The sequence below is a fragment of the Homo sapiens genome, chromosome 12 (genome assembly GCF_000001405.40).
Source record: "Homo sapiens chromosome 12, GRCh38.p14 Primary Assembly".
NCBI lineage: Eukaryota > Metazoa > Chordata > Mammalia > Primates > Hominidae > Homo > Homo sapiens.
In genome coordinates, this window is record NC_000012.12 from 106,636,384 (window position 1) to 106,656,300 (window position 19,917).

General features: G+C 42.0%; 1 protein-coding gene and 1 long non-coding RNA gene across 3 annotated transcripts in view, besides 1 other annotated feature; one reads left to right on the plus strand and one right to left on the minus strand.

Moving 5' to 3' along the window:
* LOC100287944 (uncharacterized) overlaps nt 1–19,917 on the minus strand; it is a 278,422-nt gene that overhangs the window by 139,974 nt on the left and 118,531 nt on the right. The window lies entirely within an intron of this gene.
* The window catches only part of RFX4 (regulatory factor X4), a 179,800-nt gene that overhangs the window by 53,380 nt on the left and 106,503 nt on the right, over nt 1–19,917 (plus strand). For both annotated transcript variants that reach the window (NM_213594.3, NM_001206691.2), the window contains exons 3-4: nt 2,949–3,009; nt 17,845–17,968. In NM_213594.3, the coding sequence (NP_998759.1) occupies nt 2,949–3,009; nt 17,845–17,968 (185 nt within the window). The remainder of the gene's footprint in view (nt 1–2,948; nt 3,010–17,844; nt 17,969–19,917) is intronic.
* Nucleotides 8,052–8,553: an enhancer, noted in NCBI's record as "H3K4me1 hESC enhancer chr12:107038213-107038714 (GRCh37/hg19 assembly coordinates)". NCBI's record gives its function as "activates a minimal SCP1, AML or CMV promoter by ChIP-STARR-seq in primed H9 embryonic stem cells {active_cell/tissue: H9 hESC(primed)}" and the evidence as "EXISTENCE:reporter gene assay evidence [ECO:0000049][PMID:30033119]".

The following is a 19,917-nucleotide window of genomic DNA, read 5'->3' on the forward strand; positions in this document are numbered from 1 at the left end:
CTGTCTCAAAAAAAAAAAAAAAAAGAAAAGAAAAGAAAGAAATAATGATCCAGGTGGCTACACTGGGCAGCTAACAGGCAAATAATGTGTTATAGAAGCACAGAGTTAGGATCAATGATTGATTCCTGACTAAGAGAGTATCAAGGAAGGCTTCAAAGAGTTGGTGGCATTTATTCCAGGCTGGAAAGGATGAGAAACATCTATTTAGAAGAACTCCAGGTTGACAAAGCATCATGAACAAGTGTTGAGTCTACGATGTATTTTACATTCCGTTCCTGAGAACATTTAGCATTAGTGTGGTTTGGGTTCTAACTACCAGTTAGAATGGTTTTGGTGGCAGGGAAGAGAATACCCAATGAAAGGAGGTTTTATCAACTGAAGAAACTGTGCTATCTCATAGAACAGGAGGCAGCCATTGTTTGGGTTGGTTCAACAGAGGCACCACATGTGACAATCAGAGCCCCCAGGCTTTCCCTTTTTTTCTCTGCCTTCCTAGGTGTTGACTTTGTCCTCAGATTGCGTTTTTCCCCATCCCAAGTTTGCTGCTTTCATCTAGTTATTGTGTCATCTCATAGCCACATTCAAAAGTAGAACAGGCCAGAATCTCTCACTCCTTCAATTTTATTAGGGAAAAATACTTTTCCCAGAAGCCCCGAGAGAGAGTGTCTCCTGAAATGTGATCGGCCCGCATCATGTTACATGCTCCACCTAATCCAATCAGTGGCTAGATGACATAAAATTAATTACCATGATTGTTGTAAATGAATCAACATTCACCTTTCTAGGATTTGAAAGGGGGTCATTCTCCTTGAACACACAATCCCCTCTAAACTGGCGTTCTACAAATAAGGAAGAAGGTGGGTACATGTAGGTTTTGATTAAGCAACAACAGTATCTGCCACAGTGCTTACAAGCAGACATTTAAATCAGAATTACACCAATATTGATAAATTTTCATCAAGAAGATATTTTCTAGATTCAGCTTTGATGAGCTAATTTAATTTTAGAAAAATTTTTCTATACATCATATGACATTTTCATTTTTTTATTTTCATTTTTGTTTTATTTAAACTATTTTCATAGATACCAATTCTTTTCCATATAAATTTTATGCCACAGATTGATTTCATTGATCTTTTTAATGTCTATATTAAATTTTATTGATAATATTTGTAGGCTTTGACATTATTAGTTTTCTTCTTGAGATTGTTATTTATCCTAATTATCTTGGGCCAAATTTTGTGGGTCAGGGAATTTTATGTTGACTGTTCCTATCAATAATCTTTATTAGGAATTGGATAAGAGACTGATTATATGTATTTCTCAGTAAATCCATGATGAAATTGTGACAAATTCTTTTTAGATATGCTAAAAATTAATCTGTTATTCAGATTGTGGTATTGCAGGGATCAGCAAATCAGGGTCATGTGAGCTAAATCTGGCCCGATACTTGTAGGGCTGCAAGTTAAAAATGGTCTTTACAGATCAACTTTTGCAATCTATTTAATAATAGGCAATACTAATTTTAATCCCAATTAGAAGAACATTACCCACACCCCCAAAATTAATTTAATTCTTCTTATTAATAGACATATATTACAAATATTATATTCGATTATTACTATTACACTGGATTTTTTTTTTTTTTGAATCTTGCTCTGTTGCCCAGACTAGAGTGCAGTGCTGTGATCTTGGCTCACTGCAACCTCCACCTCCCAGGTTCAAGTGATTTTCCTGCCTCAGCCTCCTGAGTATCTGAGATTACAGGTGCATGCCACCACTCCTGGCTAATTTTTGTATTTTTAGTACAGACGGGGTTTCACCATGTTAGCCAGGCTGGTCTTGAACTCCTGACCTCAAGTGATCCACTCACCTTGGCCTCCGAAAGTGCTGGGATTACAGATGTGAGCCACTGTGCCTGGCCTTACATTGAATTTTATTAATAACTATTTCATGGAAACTTGTTTTCTCTCCTGTCATATAAATTCTACATAATATTCTTGATTTTTACTATTGATGCACAAACCCTAAAATATTTACTATCATGTCCTTTACAGAAAATATGTGCTAAACCCTGCTCCATTGCATTGCTAACCTGATTCTTCTGAACACTTTCCCTCCCCACATTAAGGCTCTGCTTCATTGGGGTTACAAAGAACAAATGGTGAATAGCTTAGTCTGTTCAGGTTTTCATAACAAAATACCATAAACTGTGTGGGTTATGAACAACAGAGATTTATTTCTCTATTATTTATTCTCAACGATTTATTAATTAACAGAGATTCATTCTCCCAGTTCTGGAGGCTGGGAAGTCCAAGATCAAGGCAATAGCAGATTTGGGTGTGGTGAGGGCCCACTTTCTGGTTCATAGATGGCTATCTTCTCACTATCTTCTCTGTCTTCTCAGAGGGGAGAAAGTGGTATGGGGGAGCTCTCTGGGGTCTCTTTCATAAAGACACTAATTTCATTCATAAGACTCATGACTGATCACTTCCTAAAGGCCCCACCTTCAAATATCATCATCATCTGGGGGATTAGGTTTCAACACACAAATTTTGGGAGGGTCACAAATATTCAGTCCATAGCAGTGACTGAGGTCCCTATGTTTTTAGGGTTGAAATTGTAGTCTGTCCTGCTTCAGTTAGGAAAATATTAAGTGGATGAGTGTGATCACATTGCTCAGTGATAAAGGGAAATGCTCTTTAAACTCTAACACATTGTGTCAAATAAAAACAAAATTGACATGAGAGTTTTAAAATAAAAGTCAATTTCCCCTTTTTAGTATTAAAGTATGATGAGTCTAACATGTTGGAAAAGCCAAAATATTGTTTCAAAGCATCAACATTTCAAAGAAACATAGTCTTTTGAAACTTGGGAGAGTCGAGAGGACTTTTACTTTTTCCTACTGTTTCCTACTGAAGTTAGCTTCTTTTTCTTTCCTTTAACAGATGAGGAAAAAGAAAATAATAGAGCATCCAAGCCCCACTCCACTCCTGCTACTCTGCAATGGTAAGTTTCCATTTTTAGCAAGTTCTGTCTTCAGAGGATGCTCATATCTTCTTGTCTATAGGATAGGATATCACTTGGATATTTTAACATTGTCCTGATAACTTGACATTCCACAACATGAAATCTATTTAATTTGCAGTATATGTAAAATGCTCAACTAGCCTTAGATCTAGCCTGGAGATTGGAATTTTTGTATTTTATTTTAGGGTAGATGTTTTTTCTGTTATCCAAACACTGGCAAGGACTGGATTCCCCATGGGTATTATTAATTGATTTTAATAGAATCCATTATTACAATTTATAATAAAAACAGAGGTCTGTTGACTCTTACCAATGAACCCTTAATTCATAATGAATTACAATTGTATATAATTATTTTAACATTAATAACACTAACAAGAGTAATCTACTAGAATGGCTTTCTCTTTAATATTTGGCATTCCTGGGCTTGATGAAATATTTAATAATGTTTAAGTGGTTGCACTTGTGTTTGATATTTACAGATAAATTCTCCTCTAAAAGCTTTATTTGGAAATTATGTTGTAGCTTTGAACACTAGAGCTCTCTATGCCTGAGATTCACCCTATGAAGAATCTTGGCCATTGAAGGCGATTATTCCCCTAGCAGTGCAGCCGAGCAATATGAAGGAATTAAGGAATGACGGGGAAGGAAAGAGAAATGGGGAAAAGAAAGGAACTAAAATCCATTATATGCACCCCTCCAGGCTAGGCACTTTATATATATGCCTCATTTCATTCTCACAATTCTGTGGAGTTGCTATTGTTGTGCCCATTTAACTGATGAGGAAAATAAAGCTGAACCAGTTAAACCATTTGCCTGAATAGCCACACAGCCAATCAGTGGCAGAGGCAGGAAGTGGCTGGGTCTCTTTAACTGCAAAGCTCATGCTTGCGAAGAAAGGAAAAGAAACATCAGGAAGGATAGAGAAGAGAGGACAGATCAGAAAAGGAAGCAGATGGGCTTTAATGAGCAAATCATATTAGATTCTCTAGTCTAATCCATCCAGAGGTGAGAGGAAAACAACACTGGGAGAAAGCATTCAGGAACGTAACTCAATCTTCTCTAACAAGAGCCTCAGCAGTCAGCTTGTTTTGCTTCAAGAATAGCAAAGGTTGTTTTCAAGAGCTCTATTTCCAGCCTTTTGGCCTCTTTCCATCATTTGTTCCTATAGACTTTTTCTCATTGCATTTGCTGCTTTTTGCTTTATTTAAAATTCTACTTTATGTATCAGATCAAATCTCCCCCTTCACCCTTCTCTAAGTATTATGGCCATGCAAGTTCCCATAGTGCCAAGACATCGAATGAGGCATCGATGTAAAGGACTCTGGGAGTGGGAGTTTCTAGACATGCATGGAATTGACAGACTTTTTTTTTTTTTTTTTTTTGAGGTGGAGTCTCACTCTGTCGCCCAGGCTGGAGTGCTGTGGCGTGATTTTGGCTCACTGCAACCTCTACTTTCTGGGTTCAAGTGATCCTCTTACCTCAGCCTCCCTACTAGCTGGGATCACAGGTGCCTGCCAACATGCCCGGCTAATTTTTGTGCTTTTTGTAGAGACAGGGTTTCACCATGTTGGCTAGGCTGGTTTTGAACTCCTGACCTCAGGTGACCCTCCTGCCTTGGCCTGTCAAAGTGGTGGGATTACAGGTGTAAGCCACCATGCCTGGCCAACAAACATTCTTGCTTTAATAACCTGAACATGTCATATGTTTCAGAGTAAAAAATTTGAAAGGAACTAGAAGAAAATCACTTTGTTCACATCTATTTTTCTGGGATTCCAGGACATCTGCCTGGGAGCAGTGAGGCTGTAAATGGTGCAGTCTCTGAAATCAAACTGTCATGGCTTAACTCCCAACTCTGCCACTTACAAGCTGTGAAGTCTTGGGCAAGGTCCTTAACCTCTCTGTGCTTCAGTCTACTCACCTGTAAAATGGGGATAGCAATAGTGTCTAGCTCATAGGGTAGTCATGAAGATGAAATGAGTTGTTCTATAGAAGGTGCTTGAACAGCACCTGGCATGGGGTGGGGCTCAGTCCTTCCCTCAGCACACTCCTTCCTTCTGAGACCCACAGGGACCACCTGGAGCAGGCCCCGTCTCCTCCCTGGCATAGGCACAGCCAGTTCTCCTTCTATGGTACCTAATTCTGCACAAAATATCTGTTTTTCTAAATAAAGGGTCACATAGATCATTCCAGAAGAAATTTCACCCTCCAAGTCACAAGGTCAGACAGTGAATTTTTTTTAATGATAAGTCTATTTTCAAAGCCAAACCAAATCTGAGAATTTGTACATATTCGCCTATTCTTATCAAAAGACATCAAGTTGTTCAAAGAACATTAACGTTTGCTCTAATTATCTTTATATTATATGTTTAAGATAGAATTTCAGTCATTAACTAATTCAATAAATGTTTACTGAGCACCTGGTATTTGCTAGCTCCTTGTTCTAGGCTCTGGAAATGCAATGGTGGATAAGGTAGACCAAGAAGAGGAGCTGATGACAGGGGAAAAAGGGGAAATATCTATATCTATGTCTATATCTATCTATATCTATATCTATCTATATCTATATCTATATCTATATCTATATCTATATCTATATCTATATCTATTTTTTGAGATGGAGTTTTGCTCTTGTTGCCCAGGCTGGAGTGCAATGGCGTGAGCTCGGTTCACTGTAACCTCCGCCTCTTGGGTTCAAGTGATTCTCCTGCTTCAGCCTGCCGAGTAGCTGGGATTACAGGCATGCACCACCATACCCGGCTAATATTTTATTTTTAGTAGAGACAGGGTTTCTCCGTGTTGGTCAGGCTGGTCTCAAACTCTGGACCTCATGTGATCCACCTTCCTCAGCCTCTCAAAGTGCTAGGATTACAGGTGTGAGCCACCGTGCCCGTATATATATGTCATTAAACTAATGACACTCAGGGCACAGTGGCTCACGCCTGTAATCCCAGCACTTTGAGAGGCTGAAGTGGGAGGATCGCTTGAAGCCAGGAGCTCAAGACTAGCCTGGGCAATATAGTGAGACCCTGTCTCTGCAAAAAACAAAAAACTTAGCTGGGCATGGTGGCATAAGCCTGCAGTCTTACCTACTCTGGAGGCTGAGACAGGAGTATCGCTTGAGCCTTGGAGATCAAGACTGTAGTGGCCTGATTGTGCCACTGTACTCAAGCCTGGGTGACAGAGCAAGACCCTGTCTCTATTTAAAAAAACAACTAATGATTGATAGATAAACAAGTAATGCATTAGATAGTGAGAAGTGCTGTGCAGAGACTTTAGCTTGGCTAATACGATAGTGTCTGAGAGGCTATTTCAGGTTGAGCAGTAAGGGCAAGTTTCTCTGAGAAGGTGACATTTCAGTGGATACATGTATGACACCATGACAGTGTGAAAACCAGGGACAGGGGAATGTTGCAGGTGGAGAGAACAGCTTCTACAAAGGCCCCACTGTTGCAGGTGACCTCTCCAGATTGAGCAGAGTTGTGCCTACAGGTGGTTTATTAGGGCATGCGCCCAGCCTCCACGCCCATAGGGGTGTGAGGGATGCTGGAATAGACAGAGGGGGTGTTAGGCAGTGAAGAGGTTATCACAGAGGCTTCAGCCAATCCTACAGGGAGTTCTGAGGTGGAGATGGCCAGTTAAAAATGATCTGAATCAAAGCAACGGATCCAGACCTTTATCCCCCAACCCCATTGTCCATCACTGAATACAGGCTGCCCCCAGGGTGGGGGTGTAACTTGGGAGAGGCGGTTGCCTTCATGTTTTGCTGAGGATCACTCCTTGGAATGATTCAGCCTCCCAGTAGGGGGAACAATGTCTCAGTGCCTCAGGGCAGTCTGGGCACACTCAGCGTCCACCACTCCTTCCCGGGATGGGAGCAGGCTGAGCTTGCTGAAGGACCCACGAGAAGGTGGCCCATGTGGTTGGAGCATAGCACACATGGAGGAGAATGACACAAGATGAGGTGGGAGAGGCAGGCAGGGGAGAGGCTACATAAGCAGTAGGGAAAAGAAAGTAGGACATTAAACTTAGATAGGAACAGTCATGCTTAAAACGGTGTGGAGAACATGTGACCTCCTACGTAAAGCTGCACATGTATCATCTTTTAAAAAATATGGTTTCAGTATAAAAACTTTCTCTCTCAAAAGAGAGTGGATGCACCCTCCATTTTACAAGGAAAAGTGACATGATTTACAACGTGTCCCCTTTTTGCTGTGGCTGCCGTGGGGTTGAGAGCTAAATCTGATGCTTACAGACTTTTGCAATCACTTCTTTCCTTTGTCTAATTTTCTTCTTCTTTTGCTAGCTTAAAAAAAAACCCAGGATATAAGTAAATTTAATAAATATATTTTTGCTTTACTTTTATTTTGTTTACACAAGAAATACATTTCCTTGTTAAAAAATTAAAAACATTATAGGTAAGACTCCAGTCCATTTCTCCTTGTAGTTCTTTGCCTTCTCCTCAAAAGCAACCCTATTCAGTGAGACATGTGTGTGCATGTGTGCACTTGTGTGTATACATATGTGTAGATATGTATTACAGACCCTTCCCTATGAATTTGCACACATATGTATCTGTAGAAGTTTCTGAAGTATGGTTTTTAATTTAGCATTGTCTCCTTTATAAAAAGCATGCAGATGTATCACACTAAAAATATTGACCCGCAACCTGTTATGCTGTATTGATCCACTACTTGCTTTCTTCCTTAGTAGAATGTCCTGAAGCTACACTCATGGTTCATAAAGAACAACCTCATTTTAACTGCAGCTCAGTGTTTAGCATAAGACAATGGCAGAATTAATGTTGCCATTTCCCCTTTTTTTTTTTTTTTTTTTTTGAGACAGAGCCTTGCTCTGTCACTCAGGCTGGAGTGCAATGGTGTGATCTCGGCTCACTGCAACTTCCACCTCCCAGGTTCAAGCAATTCTCCTGCCTCAGCCTTCTAAGAAGCTGGGATTACAGGCGCGCACCGCCACATCCAGCTAATTTTTGTATTTTGGTAGAGATGGGGTTTTACCATGTTGGCCAGGCTGGTTTTGAACTCCTGACCTCAAGTGATCCACCGGCCTCAGCCTCCCAAAGTGTTGGGATTACAGGCATGAGCCACCCCACCCGGCGCCACTTCCCTTTTGATGAACATTTAAGTTTTGTTCAAATCTCATCTTTGCCATTACAAGTAGGGCCTCACGGAACATCTTCGTGTGTGCCCCCTTGGACACCGTGGGAGTGTTTCTTCATGTCTGTATCAAGAAACAGAATTGCTCCATTAACACTTAAAGTGTTGATGGGATTGCAAAATTACCCATCAAATGGCTTTACCATTTTATATCTTCATCTGCAGTGCAAAATACTTACAAAACAAAACAGGAACCTAATGCTAGGACAAGCATCTCATTCTCTGAGGCATTTATGTCCTTCATGCTGTGCCCTCTCTCCAGCGGCAGTGGCCAGCCCCTGAGGACAGAGAGGAGGGCAGGCCCAGGAAAGGACACTGGCCGCACCACTAAGGCGCCCGCCACCCGCCTGACAGTGTCGAGCTCTCCTGGGACATTTGGCTTGTTATTGGAATTGGGTTAGGAGCTATTTGCTTCTCCTTCTTCCCCTTCCTTGCCACAAACCCCCTCCCCCTCCCCCTAGAACAAATAACACCGCTCTAAGAACAAATAATACAGCAGCCAAGCAGCCTAAAATAATTGGGGACACGTGATCTGGAGGCAACTCCCAGCAGAAAACAGGCAAATATTGTCAAATGCCTTCTGCCAAACACTTTCCAGCATCCTCGGTCACGAGGGTTAGTAAATCCCAACTCACTGGGGATGGTGAGCGCTGCTGGAATCCCGGCCGCACAATAACCTCTATTCATGCAGAGAATTTCGAAATGGAAAGCAGCCTGTTCCGCAGTCCCGGCCTACTTGCTGCCAACACATGCCCCCTCCGTGCCCCGCCCTCGCCCGCCACCCTTGCCGCCCTTACCCAGAGCTCCTTGTACGCCTTCTGGGTGGGGACGTTTTCCCTTCCAGCAATTTACTGAAGAAATGAGGCTCTTCCAAAAAGGAGGACAGAAGATCAAATTGTCACTTTCGGGGGGGATTGGGGGGAGATTTTCCTTTCTTTTGAAAAAAATTAAATTGAGGACTTGGGTGGTTGACAAGCTATCAATATTCCAAATTAATATGAAACAAAAGAAATTTATAATTTCTCTTTAGAATGTTCTGGAAGGTCATAGGTAAGACATTGGGTTTGGCACTGTTCCAAAGAAGAAATACATTGACATTTTAGACCAGATCACAGCTGCTAGATCAGACTCATTGGATGTAACCGATAACTGACATTTTGCACCCTTTTGTGACTTGATTCTTACTCAACAGTGACAGAACATTGCTTTCATAATGTGAGTTAGGTAACATGGTTCTAAAAAGGGAGGCTGAACACTTTTAGCTCTGAACACAACCAGTGTTGATAGATAATGCCACTAGATGTGACTGTGTCCCTCCGGATGACCTCAGCTACAGATGGAGAAAGGTCAGTTAAGCTGGACAACCCAATGCCAAGGGCAGAAATTTCTCAGGGAATGAGATGCTGTGTTGTGGAACCACAACTTTTTTTAAAAAAAGTATTTTGTGCTGTGGGTAAATGTGTCAAATGGTAAAGCCATTTGACGGGCAATTTTGCAATCCATTAGCATTTGAAGCACATGCAGCCAGCAGCTGTGCTTCTTGATGCTGGCAGGGAGAAACACTCCCACACAGGTGTGTAAGGGGGCACATACGAAGATGTTCTGCGGGGCCTTATTCATAATGGCAAAGTGCAGTAGAGATGAGTAGAGTACTGGGTATAGGTGGAAAGGGACCACTGAGGAGGTAGCTTCTGGTAGGGGATGGTGCCAAAATCACCTCAGCTACTGTCCAGGACAACCAGAGCTCTGGGCTGCAAACCTGTAGCCTAGGCCCCAAAAGAAGCATTCGGAACCAAATGGAAATTGCAACACTGTGCTTAATACATTGCCTAGTTTTATCCAAAAAAAAAAAAAAAAAAAAAAAAAAAAGAGGGGACTTGAATAACCAAAAACTGAGCTGAGAGATTCCAGAAGCTACCTAAGCCCAGGCCTTACTAGAACACTAATTCAGTAGGTTGTAGGTCAAACCCAGCGTAGGAATTGGATGACTACTGTTCTGGTCCAGTTTAGACATTACAATGGCAGGAATAAATCTCTGATTCAGTCCATTGCCCCACATCAGCCAAACCTACAGGTTCAGCAATCACCCGTGGGATGCCAGGCTTGTCAGGTGATGTCACTGCTGAGCACACCTAATCCTCATGAAAATCCTGTAGAGAAGGCAGGACAGCTACCTGTATTTAAAGAGGAGGAAACCAAGGTAGTCTCTTTCTACACAAAGAGGGGGACATTCCTGACTCCCCAGGGAAATCCTCAACAACAAGGAAGCTGGGTCAGCTGAAGTCCCCTGAGAAATGTCAGTGTCCACACAAATGCATGTTTCTGATTGGCTCGTCTACTTGGCAGCAAAGCATGGCTTAATGGTTGTGTAATGAAATAGATTGTTTTTTTGTTTGTTTTATTTTGCTTTGGAGTTTTCTAGACTTAGCCTCAGTCCTAACCAGAGCCTGTATGAGCCAAAGCCCACTGTTTTCTATTCATTTGCTGTCTGGTGGTGTTATCTCCCTAGCTCCCATCTTCCTTCTGGTAAACTGTCAGTTTCTTAAAGGCTGGGGCAAGAGTAGCATCTTCTTGTTCATGGCTGTATTCTACAGTGCCTGGCATATAGTAGGTGCTCAATAAATGTATTCTGACTAACCAAATGAATGTCAGTCTCTGGCACATAGTGAGAACTTTAGAGGCATCATACCTGAGTTCATACTTTTTAAGCCTAGCTTTTCCCAGCAGAGTCGCTGTGGACAAGCCACTTTACTTCCTTGGCCCTCCATTTCTTCCTCTATGTCCTAGGGCATAGTGTTTACTCATCTTGTGGGGGTAGTGATAGCCAATATGAACATCCCTAGCGCAGGGTAGGCACTTGAAAATATAAATCAAATATATTAATATTAACCATGCTTTTCCTTTAACTACCCAGATATTAAGATTAATAAAATACCAGAATCCCTTGACCTGTGCAAAAGCCTGCCTTCCTTCTTATTGGCCTTTCCTCCTTTCCCCTCCTTCCTCCTGCAGTGTTTACTGACTGTGTTCAGGACACAGTGCTAGGAACTATGTTAACATCAATAGGAATTTGGTTTGATCCCTGCCATCAAAGGACTTTCAGTTTAAGATACAAAACATTACCTGAATATTCCACAATATTGTAAAATAATGCTAATTGTTACTCTTTATTGAGTGTCCCCCACAATAAAGGGCCTCAGGCTGTGCATGGATTCTTGTCTAGTCCTCACAGCAAGCTTGGGAGATGGTACAGTTTCTCTCATTTTACAGATGAAGGAAGTGAGAGAGTTCAAGTAACGTGCCCCAGGCTATATGCTTGTAAGTGGTGGAGGCAGGATTCAAAGTCAGTGATCTCAAACTCTAAAACCAGTGCTGGCTCCTGATGAAGCTATTTGAGCCATAAGCTATGAGGAACCATGGCCATCCCTGGGAAGTAGTGAGAGCTTTACAAGCAGAGGATGTGGCTTTTCCTACAGACATAACAGCAGCTGGCATTTAGACCACTGCAGCACTCTACATGTTATTGAATGAATAAATGAATTTGGCAGGGAGGAAAGGATGAAGAAGTGGTTAGCAGATGGGGTTGAGTGTGCACTGAACATAGTTCCATGGAAGAGAAATGTGAGTTGCGCCTTGATGCGTGGAACACGGTGGAGGAGGTCATCCCCTGCGGTAGGAAGGTGATGGATCGTGTGTGTGGGTGGAAGGTGACAAGGTGTGTCTCAGGAGCAGGAAACGATCCAGTTGGCTGGAAAGAGGTATACGTGTGGGAAAGCAGGACGGAAAAGGAGCCAGGGGCCTTGGATGCCACGGTCAGGAATCCAGACTTTTGTGGAGAGGGAACAGGGAGCCGTTGACGGGTGTAGACTACTGTCTTGTCCTGATTGCTTAGCAAGGGTTTTTTTTTTTTCTACATAGTTTACAGTCTCAGATCTCTGTGACAACTTCAGTGATAAGTTAAAATAGTTAATATTTTTAAAAATCCTGTTGTCTTGTAAAGTCTGGGCTTTCTGTAAAAAAAAAAAATCCTGTGGGGTTTTTTTTTTTTTTTTTTGGTAAAAGAGAATGAAAAAGTTTCTGTTCTTGACATGTGTGCAAGAACTTGAGGAGTGGGCACTTTGAACTGACGCAGAGCGACCTTTCCTAAGAATACATCGATCATGCTGCCCCCATGCTATAAAACATCTAATCAGTTTAAAAGATCTCTGCATATACATATAAGAAATCACAGGTTTAAAATGAGGACAGTGGGAAATGATGCCAGGTGCCGAAACATTTGCTTTTCATTGTAAAGTGCTGATACAAAGCTTCCTCCATGTGCCTTAGGAGGCCACATGCTGAAACCTTGTGAGGAAGTCTTCTTAAAAATATATAACTCAGATAATGACTCATGTTAGCTAGCAGACTGAGCTCATTATCTCTCCATAATAGGATAGGCTCAATTCAAATATAATCAAGTTGTTAAATAGAAGATAAGGAAAATGGAAGAAGTGGGAATTTTTTTGTGATCATTAAAAAAAACCCAGGTATAATGGAGCATTGTTCACCATGTCAGACTAATGATGTCCTCTAAAAGAGAGGAGGAAACGAGAAAATTTCATCAGATATGAAGAAGAATAATTAACTGCCTTTCTTTCTGCCATGCTTTGGTCAGGGAAGTGGACATTCCAATTAGCAACTTTAGTAGATAGGCAGAACCTCTGGTTTTGGGCAAAGGTGTCATGATGCTATTCCTGTAGAAACTTATCAAGCATCAAAGGGGCCCTTCCATGCCAATTACATCCATTTGTTCATAGAGCTTATTAAAATGCTTCATAGTTATAAGCCACCTAGTTACTTTGAGGCTCAGAAGCTCCGGAAAGAGGAACAAAACGTGGGCTGAAATGTAGTAATTTAGGAGGCTCTGGCCTTTGACAGGTAACTGTTTAATTAGCCCAGCCTGTGTGAACCATGACTTACACCCATCTGATTTGAATAGTTTGTTGCTGCTATGGGTTCATTTGATGTGATGTTTCTTAACCATGATCTTGTATTTTAATCTTGACCTCTTGGCCAGATTTAGTAAGCACACAAGCCACAAGAACAGCAAATGGAAACTGAGGCACAAGGAGCTTAAATAAAGTAACTTACTTAGAAACTCATGCTGTTTAATGCTGCATTTGAAAGCATGATTTTCACCCTTAACTGTCCTCTCCTTCTGCATTTCTGGTAGTGGAGAATGGAGCCCCCCATTCATCCATTCTGCCCAGTTAGGAACCTGAGGGTTTGCTTGGTTACTCCTGTCCTCCTCACATCTGGCAGCATGAGGCCCACACCCTAAGTGTTACCTCTGCCCCCACAACCATTGCTTCAGTTCATGCCCCATCATTTCCTGCCAGAACTATTATAGTAGCTCCTAATTGGTCTCCTGTGTTCATTCATTCATTCAACAAGTCCTAATTAATCAGCCACTATGTGCCAGGCTTTGATCGTCCTCCTGGGCCACCTCCCCTAGAGGTACAGAGCAAACTTTCCAAAGAATGCATTGATCATGCCACTCCCATGCTTTAAAAAATCTAATTGGTTTTAAAGGATTTCTATCAATTTAAATAATCATATGCAAGATGAATTCTGAATGGTTTGAAATACACATTTGTTTAGTGTGTTCATGGATTTTTTTTTAGCCAAAATAAATTCTAGGAAGCCATTAGCAAAAATAAGCAAAAAGGGATACTTTTATCTTCCCCACAGCTTGTCATACACAAAATTGCAGTTGCCCAAATTGTTCATGTGTATGCATGAGACTGGAAAATGTTCCACTACAAGTGTTGAAGTCAAATCTCTTAAAAATTGCTTAATGGAACTCTCAAAAGTCAAAGATGGCCAGGCGCTGTGGCTCATGCCTGTAATCCCAGCACTTTGGGAGGCTGAGGTGGGAGGATCACTTGAGGTCAGGAGTTCGAGACCAGCCTGGCCAACATGGAGAAACCCTATCTTTACTAAAAATACAAAAATTAGCCAGGTGTGGGACACCTGTAGTCCCAGCTACTCAGGAAACTGAGGCAGGAGAATTGCTTGAACCGGGGAGGCGGAGGTTGCGGTGAGCCGAGATGTCGCCATTTCACTCCAGCCTGGGTGACAGAGCGAAACTCTGTCTCAAAAGAAAAAAAAAAAGTCTAAGATGATACCTATGAGACAGGTGTTTTGTTGTTGTTTTGTTGTTTGACATTCTTTTATTATACTCAAGCCATTCCTGGCAAATAGAACGTATTAAGCTTTAAATTAATGTCAGTTATTGTTGTTACTGATGATATTATTATTATTATCATCATTATTATTCCTATAGCATCCCGGAAGCACTCAGGTCTTCCCGACTCCTTTGAGTCTTTGTTTCTTTCAGTCCTCCTGAGTACAATTCTACCACCTTCTTCTGAAAATAACATTTTTATAGTAACTCTTGAACTCCAAGTGGGTGCTAAATTCTTAAGCCAAATCATATCCATTTGTGTGGCATTTAAAGACTCCCTCCACCTCCCATAGTTCTTCCCTTTAGATACCCTTTCCTTCTCTCTTTACTCAGATCAGCATCTCCATCATTAAAAGCACATGGCACTGTCTCCCATCCTTGCTGTTCTACTTGCCTGGAACCTCCCTCCCTCCCCCAACTACCGTGGCAGAATACCAGAGAGATTTGGAATGAGACAAACCCTCCTATTTACTAGCTGCATGACTGGGCAAATGAGTTACACCCTCTGAGCCTCAGATTCCTATCCTGAAACATATGTATAAATACCTACCTCATGCCATACGGTTATTGTGAGGTCAAATGAGACCATGGATACCCAGTGCCCAGCACCTAGTAAGAGCTCAACAGATGCTAACTGTTGTTGTTACACAATCCTAAACCCAACTCTTCTATGAAACTTTAATTATCTACTCTCATCTACACATCAATCTCTCTGTTTTCCCACCTTCAACTGTACCTATGGTCAGGAGTTTATAGTAATTAAATATTATTTCTTGTGCATATGTCTCCCCAAATAGACTGCAAAGTTAACTAGGACATAGATCATGTCTTATGCCAACACAAGTGCCTACAGGAGCCAGACAAGGAACAGAAAATAGACAGGGTACAAAGAAATAGGGAGGAGTGAGGACTCTGGCCAACTTCAGGGCACATGTAGCTCTGGCCAATTGTTGTCGTGCGGGAATATGGGTCCAGTGTTGCCAGATCTCAGCTTTTTCAAAAGAAGCCAGAAATCCAGATTCTTATGTGCAATGTCCTGAATTTTAAAAATTGGGCCAACACTGTTCAGGCCAAAACAAAGCATGTCTGTGAGACCCCAGTTTGAGAAAGCTGTCTTATTCAGATGGCCCCTACAAGTTTGTACGCGAGCTGGTTATTTGGACCTCTGAACTCACTTTTATAGAGAAACAATGCCGCGAATGGCAGTTAGGGGTCCAGGCTAACCTCCCAGGCTGATTTTCATTCATACTGGACCTGAAACTTAGGACAGTCCTAAGAAACCTATTCTTTATGTGAAACCCTTTTCCCACTGGAAAACACACTTAGAATTCCAATTTATGATGTCAAAGACATACATCAGAATGTAAGCCTGTTCAGGACAGGACCATTGTTTTGTTCACCACTGTTTCCTTAATGTCTAGAACATTGCCTGGCACTTAGTAAATATTTGTTGAGTTAAAGGTTATCTGTGTCTTTGTCCATCTGTCTACCATTAATCTGTTCACTGTATGCAAGCATGGACTATCTTGCTCACTGTGATATCCCCAGCGCCTGGCAGGTGATAAGATCAATAAATATTTGTTGAATGAATAAATGACTGAAATAATCTATCCATAAGACACTTACTGAGCCCCTACTGTGTGCCAAGGAATATGCTGGACCTCAATGATGCAGAATTGACTCAGACACTATCCCAGCCTCAAGGAATTTGATCACCTAGAAAGGATTACATCAACTCTTTCTGGGAACATTTCTAAAAACTATCCCAAGTTACTCAATGTTCCCCATCCCAGAAGCGCGGGAAGTAGATGAGATGATCGGGGACTATTCAGCACCAGGTTTTGTCTTGGTGCTGACAGGTCTGTGTCCCTAGGGTTGTATTCCCCCTCTGTGGGGTTTGGGTATGAAATGATTGAACTGATGTTCTTGCAATCACATGTTGGAATAAGTTGAGCGAGTGCTGCCCTTTCAAGTGGGCACCTTGGGGGGCCGTGTCCTCATTCCACTTCACTTACGACAGCGCTGGGCCACTTCTTTGGCAAATGCTCTCAGAGGGAGTTTTGAAGCCACTTGAGGACATTTATTTCATCACTTTGGAATTATGCCTTATTTTTGACCAAAAAATTGGGGGTGGGGGATGGTTTTCCAGTCACTTTATCCCCCAAACTTGCTTCCAAATAACTTTGGGTTGTTTCCTAAAATCTAGTTAATGATCAAAGGAGAAATGTTTCCTGTTGGTGCATTGATTTAGCAGTAGGTGCCCCAGGCTTCGAAGGCATGACCCTAAGAGAAGTTCCCAAATTGTCTTGTGCCACAGCAGTTTTCTTGGGAAAGGTATTTAACTTTCCAGAGTGCCTAGGACAATGGAGGCAAGATTTATTTGGATGCCTACATTCTGGTGTTTGGGTTAAAGAATAATAAATTTTTTAAACCCTGTATCTAATTTTTGTTTATATCCCCAATATTTAGCACACGGTCAGGACATATAGTGCCCAAAAATGTTTTCTGGAGAGGAAGAACGAATCATGAGGAGGTCTGACGTCTTCTCAGTGCTTCCCATGCACGTGCCAGGCACCATGCGGATGCTTGTCACACGTTACCTCGTCTGATCATTATAACCACTTTAGGAGGCACTTACAATTCAATCCCACCAAAAGGAAACTGAGGCCTGAGCTTAAGTAACTTGCCCAAGGTCACCAAGCCAGCAAGTGACAAGGCTGGGATGTAAACCCAGTTGTAGAAAATCTCTCCTACAGAATCCCTAATGGAGACTCACTAAGAAGGTGATGGGTATAGAATCATTATTCCTAGCACAGCAGAGGAGAAGAGGATTCTAAAGTAATCATGGGGCCAACTTCCTCCTCTGGTCATGAGACCTCCCTTCAGTCAGCAGATCAGTGTCTGTACAGCTATACAGGCCTCTCCTGGGGCATTGGTTTTCCCAGACAATCCCCCTCCATAGCATTTGTCAGCCAAGGAGCTCCAAGATGTTGACACATCCTCCTTGGGCTTTTAGCTGTTACAAATGGCTCCTCAAGTTGGTCTGTGGTTCCATTCCTGGCTGATTGGGGCACCCACAAGACCCTATGTAGTTTTTGGAGTTTGCATGTATCTGATCTAGCCAGAACAAGGCCAGGTCAATGACAGTACAGAGTAGAGGATCTGGGAATTTGGGCTGAAAAAGTAGCCTGGTGTCATACCCAAAGGGGCCAGGATTCTGACACTGCCAAGCCACTAATGCCAGGCATGACCTTGGGCAGCTTGCTTTGTCTTCCTGGGCCCCAGCTTCTCCACCTGTAGAAAGAACGTTATTTCTAAGGACTGCCCATCTCTGGAGGACTAGAAAGAACAGACCGTTCTTGCTTGGGGAAGGTAACACATTTTTTGCTCATTGGGCGTTTATTTCCCTAGGCTGGAGGAGAACTATGAGATTGCAGAGGGGGTCTGCATCCCTCGCAGTGCCCTCTATATGCATTACCTGGATTTCTGCGAGAAGAATGATACCCAACCTGTCAATGCTGCCAGCTTTGGAAAGGTGAGTCCAGCCTCATCAGGCTTGTCCTCCCTACCACCCCAACTTTAAGTAATTTATGCACAGTTTTAAAGCATTTTAGTTATTTTTTTTAAGTTATCAAAGTACTTACTTACTTTGGTACTTTGACAACTTCAACTTCACTGTAATACTTTGCTATCAAAATTTCAAACAATTCAAAAACATTGTAAAGTAAGAAATTCAATGTCTCACTTGAATTTCCTCAGTACTTAATTTTCATGAAGTCACTTATTTTCTCTGAGAGGCAAATATTGAACTCACAAGTGTGTTACATGGATGTCAATCAGCCTGGGACAGGCAACCTGCTTGGCTTAGTCATGTGGATGCCTGGAGAAACTGGAAATGGCCCTGTATCCTTAGATTGGAGGTGTGGGAGTCCTCTGCAAAGAGTGGTACTATTTGCATTATCACTACAGTCCAGACTGTTCTCTTTCCACCTTATAAAAAAAATGCAATCCACATTTAGAGCTATGTCTACAAAAAATTGTTAGCAGTGATCATTCCCATTTAATAGGCCAAGGAAAGCTGTTGGGGCATTCTTTAAGACTGATCATTTATTTATTTGATGGCTACACCAAAAAAATACCCAATTTGAGTCAATACATCTAAACCTTCCTCCTTTTGTTAGCTTCCTTTTTCTATGTGTAATTTTTTCTGCATCTGCTAACAAAAATAGGCTTGTTCTGTACCATGATTTTTTATCAGTTTTCTGAGTGCAGGAATACGAAGGGCTGAAATGGCAGAAAGAGGTCAGTGTATGAGTTTCAGGAATTCCCTTTTCAGATCCCCAAAAGATAAATCATCAGTAGGAAAAGACAAAGAGCCGTGTTAGGGCTGAGCCAGCCACCCTGGAGAGCCCAAAAATGGAGTGGCTGAGAAATGGCTCCATTCAATAAATGGGAGGATGCTCTGTGATGACTTGGGGAGGAAAAAACATTTTTGTGTTGATTAACATGATTTCTCCAAAGTGAAAGGGATGTTTTTTTAAAAGTCAGTGGAGAAACTACCTTTGGCTATTTCTTTCATTCATTTCTTCAATCCTTCAGTATTGGTAGAGACTGGCTGTGTGGCAGGCCCTGTGTTAAGTAGTGGCAGTGGGGACCCAGAAAGGAACTCAGTATGGCTCTGCTATGGAGGTGCCCCTCAGCAGGTGGGAGAAGGGAGAGCACACAAGGTGGATGTGTATGCTACCAGAGCTTGGTCAGGAGTTTGCGGTCCTGGAATATTCAGTGGCACCTACAAACCCCTCGCAGAGGCCACAGTGGAAAGCCCAGATGAGGCCTCTTACATACAGGTTGGGGACAGGTTGGGTGAACCAAAAGACCAAGAATCCTGACTTTCCTGGACTTATTATCTAACCTCTCTAAGCCTCAGCTGCCCCAGCTTCCTCAGGGGGATGTTGCAAGAGTCAACTGAGATGATGTCAGTGGATGATGGAAGGTACTGTTTACTCAGTCATCCAATAACTCAGACATTTATTAAGCACCTACCATGTGCGATTACAACTGTTGCTGTTATGAATTCTGCATGAGATGTCTGTGCATGGACATAAACAGACATTTGTTAGCTTATATTCTGCAAAACAAATAAAAACCCTCACCACTTGTAGAAACTCCAATTTGCCTGCACAAGAAGCCTCTATTCTCTTTTCCTCAACTACTTTTGTAACCCTATTAGCTTGTGGTTTTCTTGACCTCCTGATCTAGGTAAAATCAGTTTAAGCGCACGCCTTCACCTCAGCACCCCAGTCCCATTTTCAATTTAAGTCTCAAGCCTGCCCCAAGACTTCAGCAAATCTCAAGGCATTTGCATTCTCAGGGTCACCTTGACTTGAGACTCTTCCTTCTGGTCATTAGCCATGTGTGGCTGTTTAACTTAAACAAAATAATAACTTCAGTACACTAGCAGTTGCATTAACCACATTTCAAATA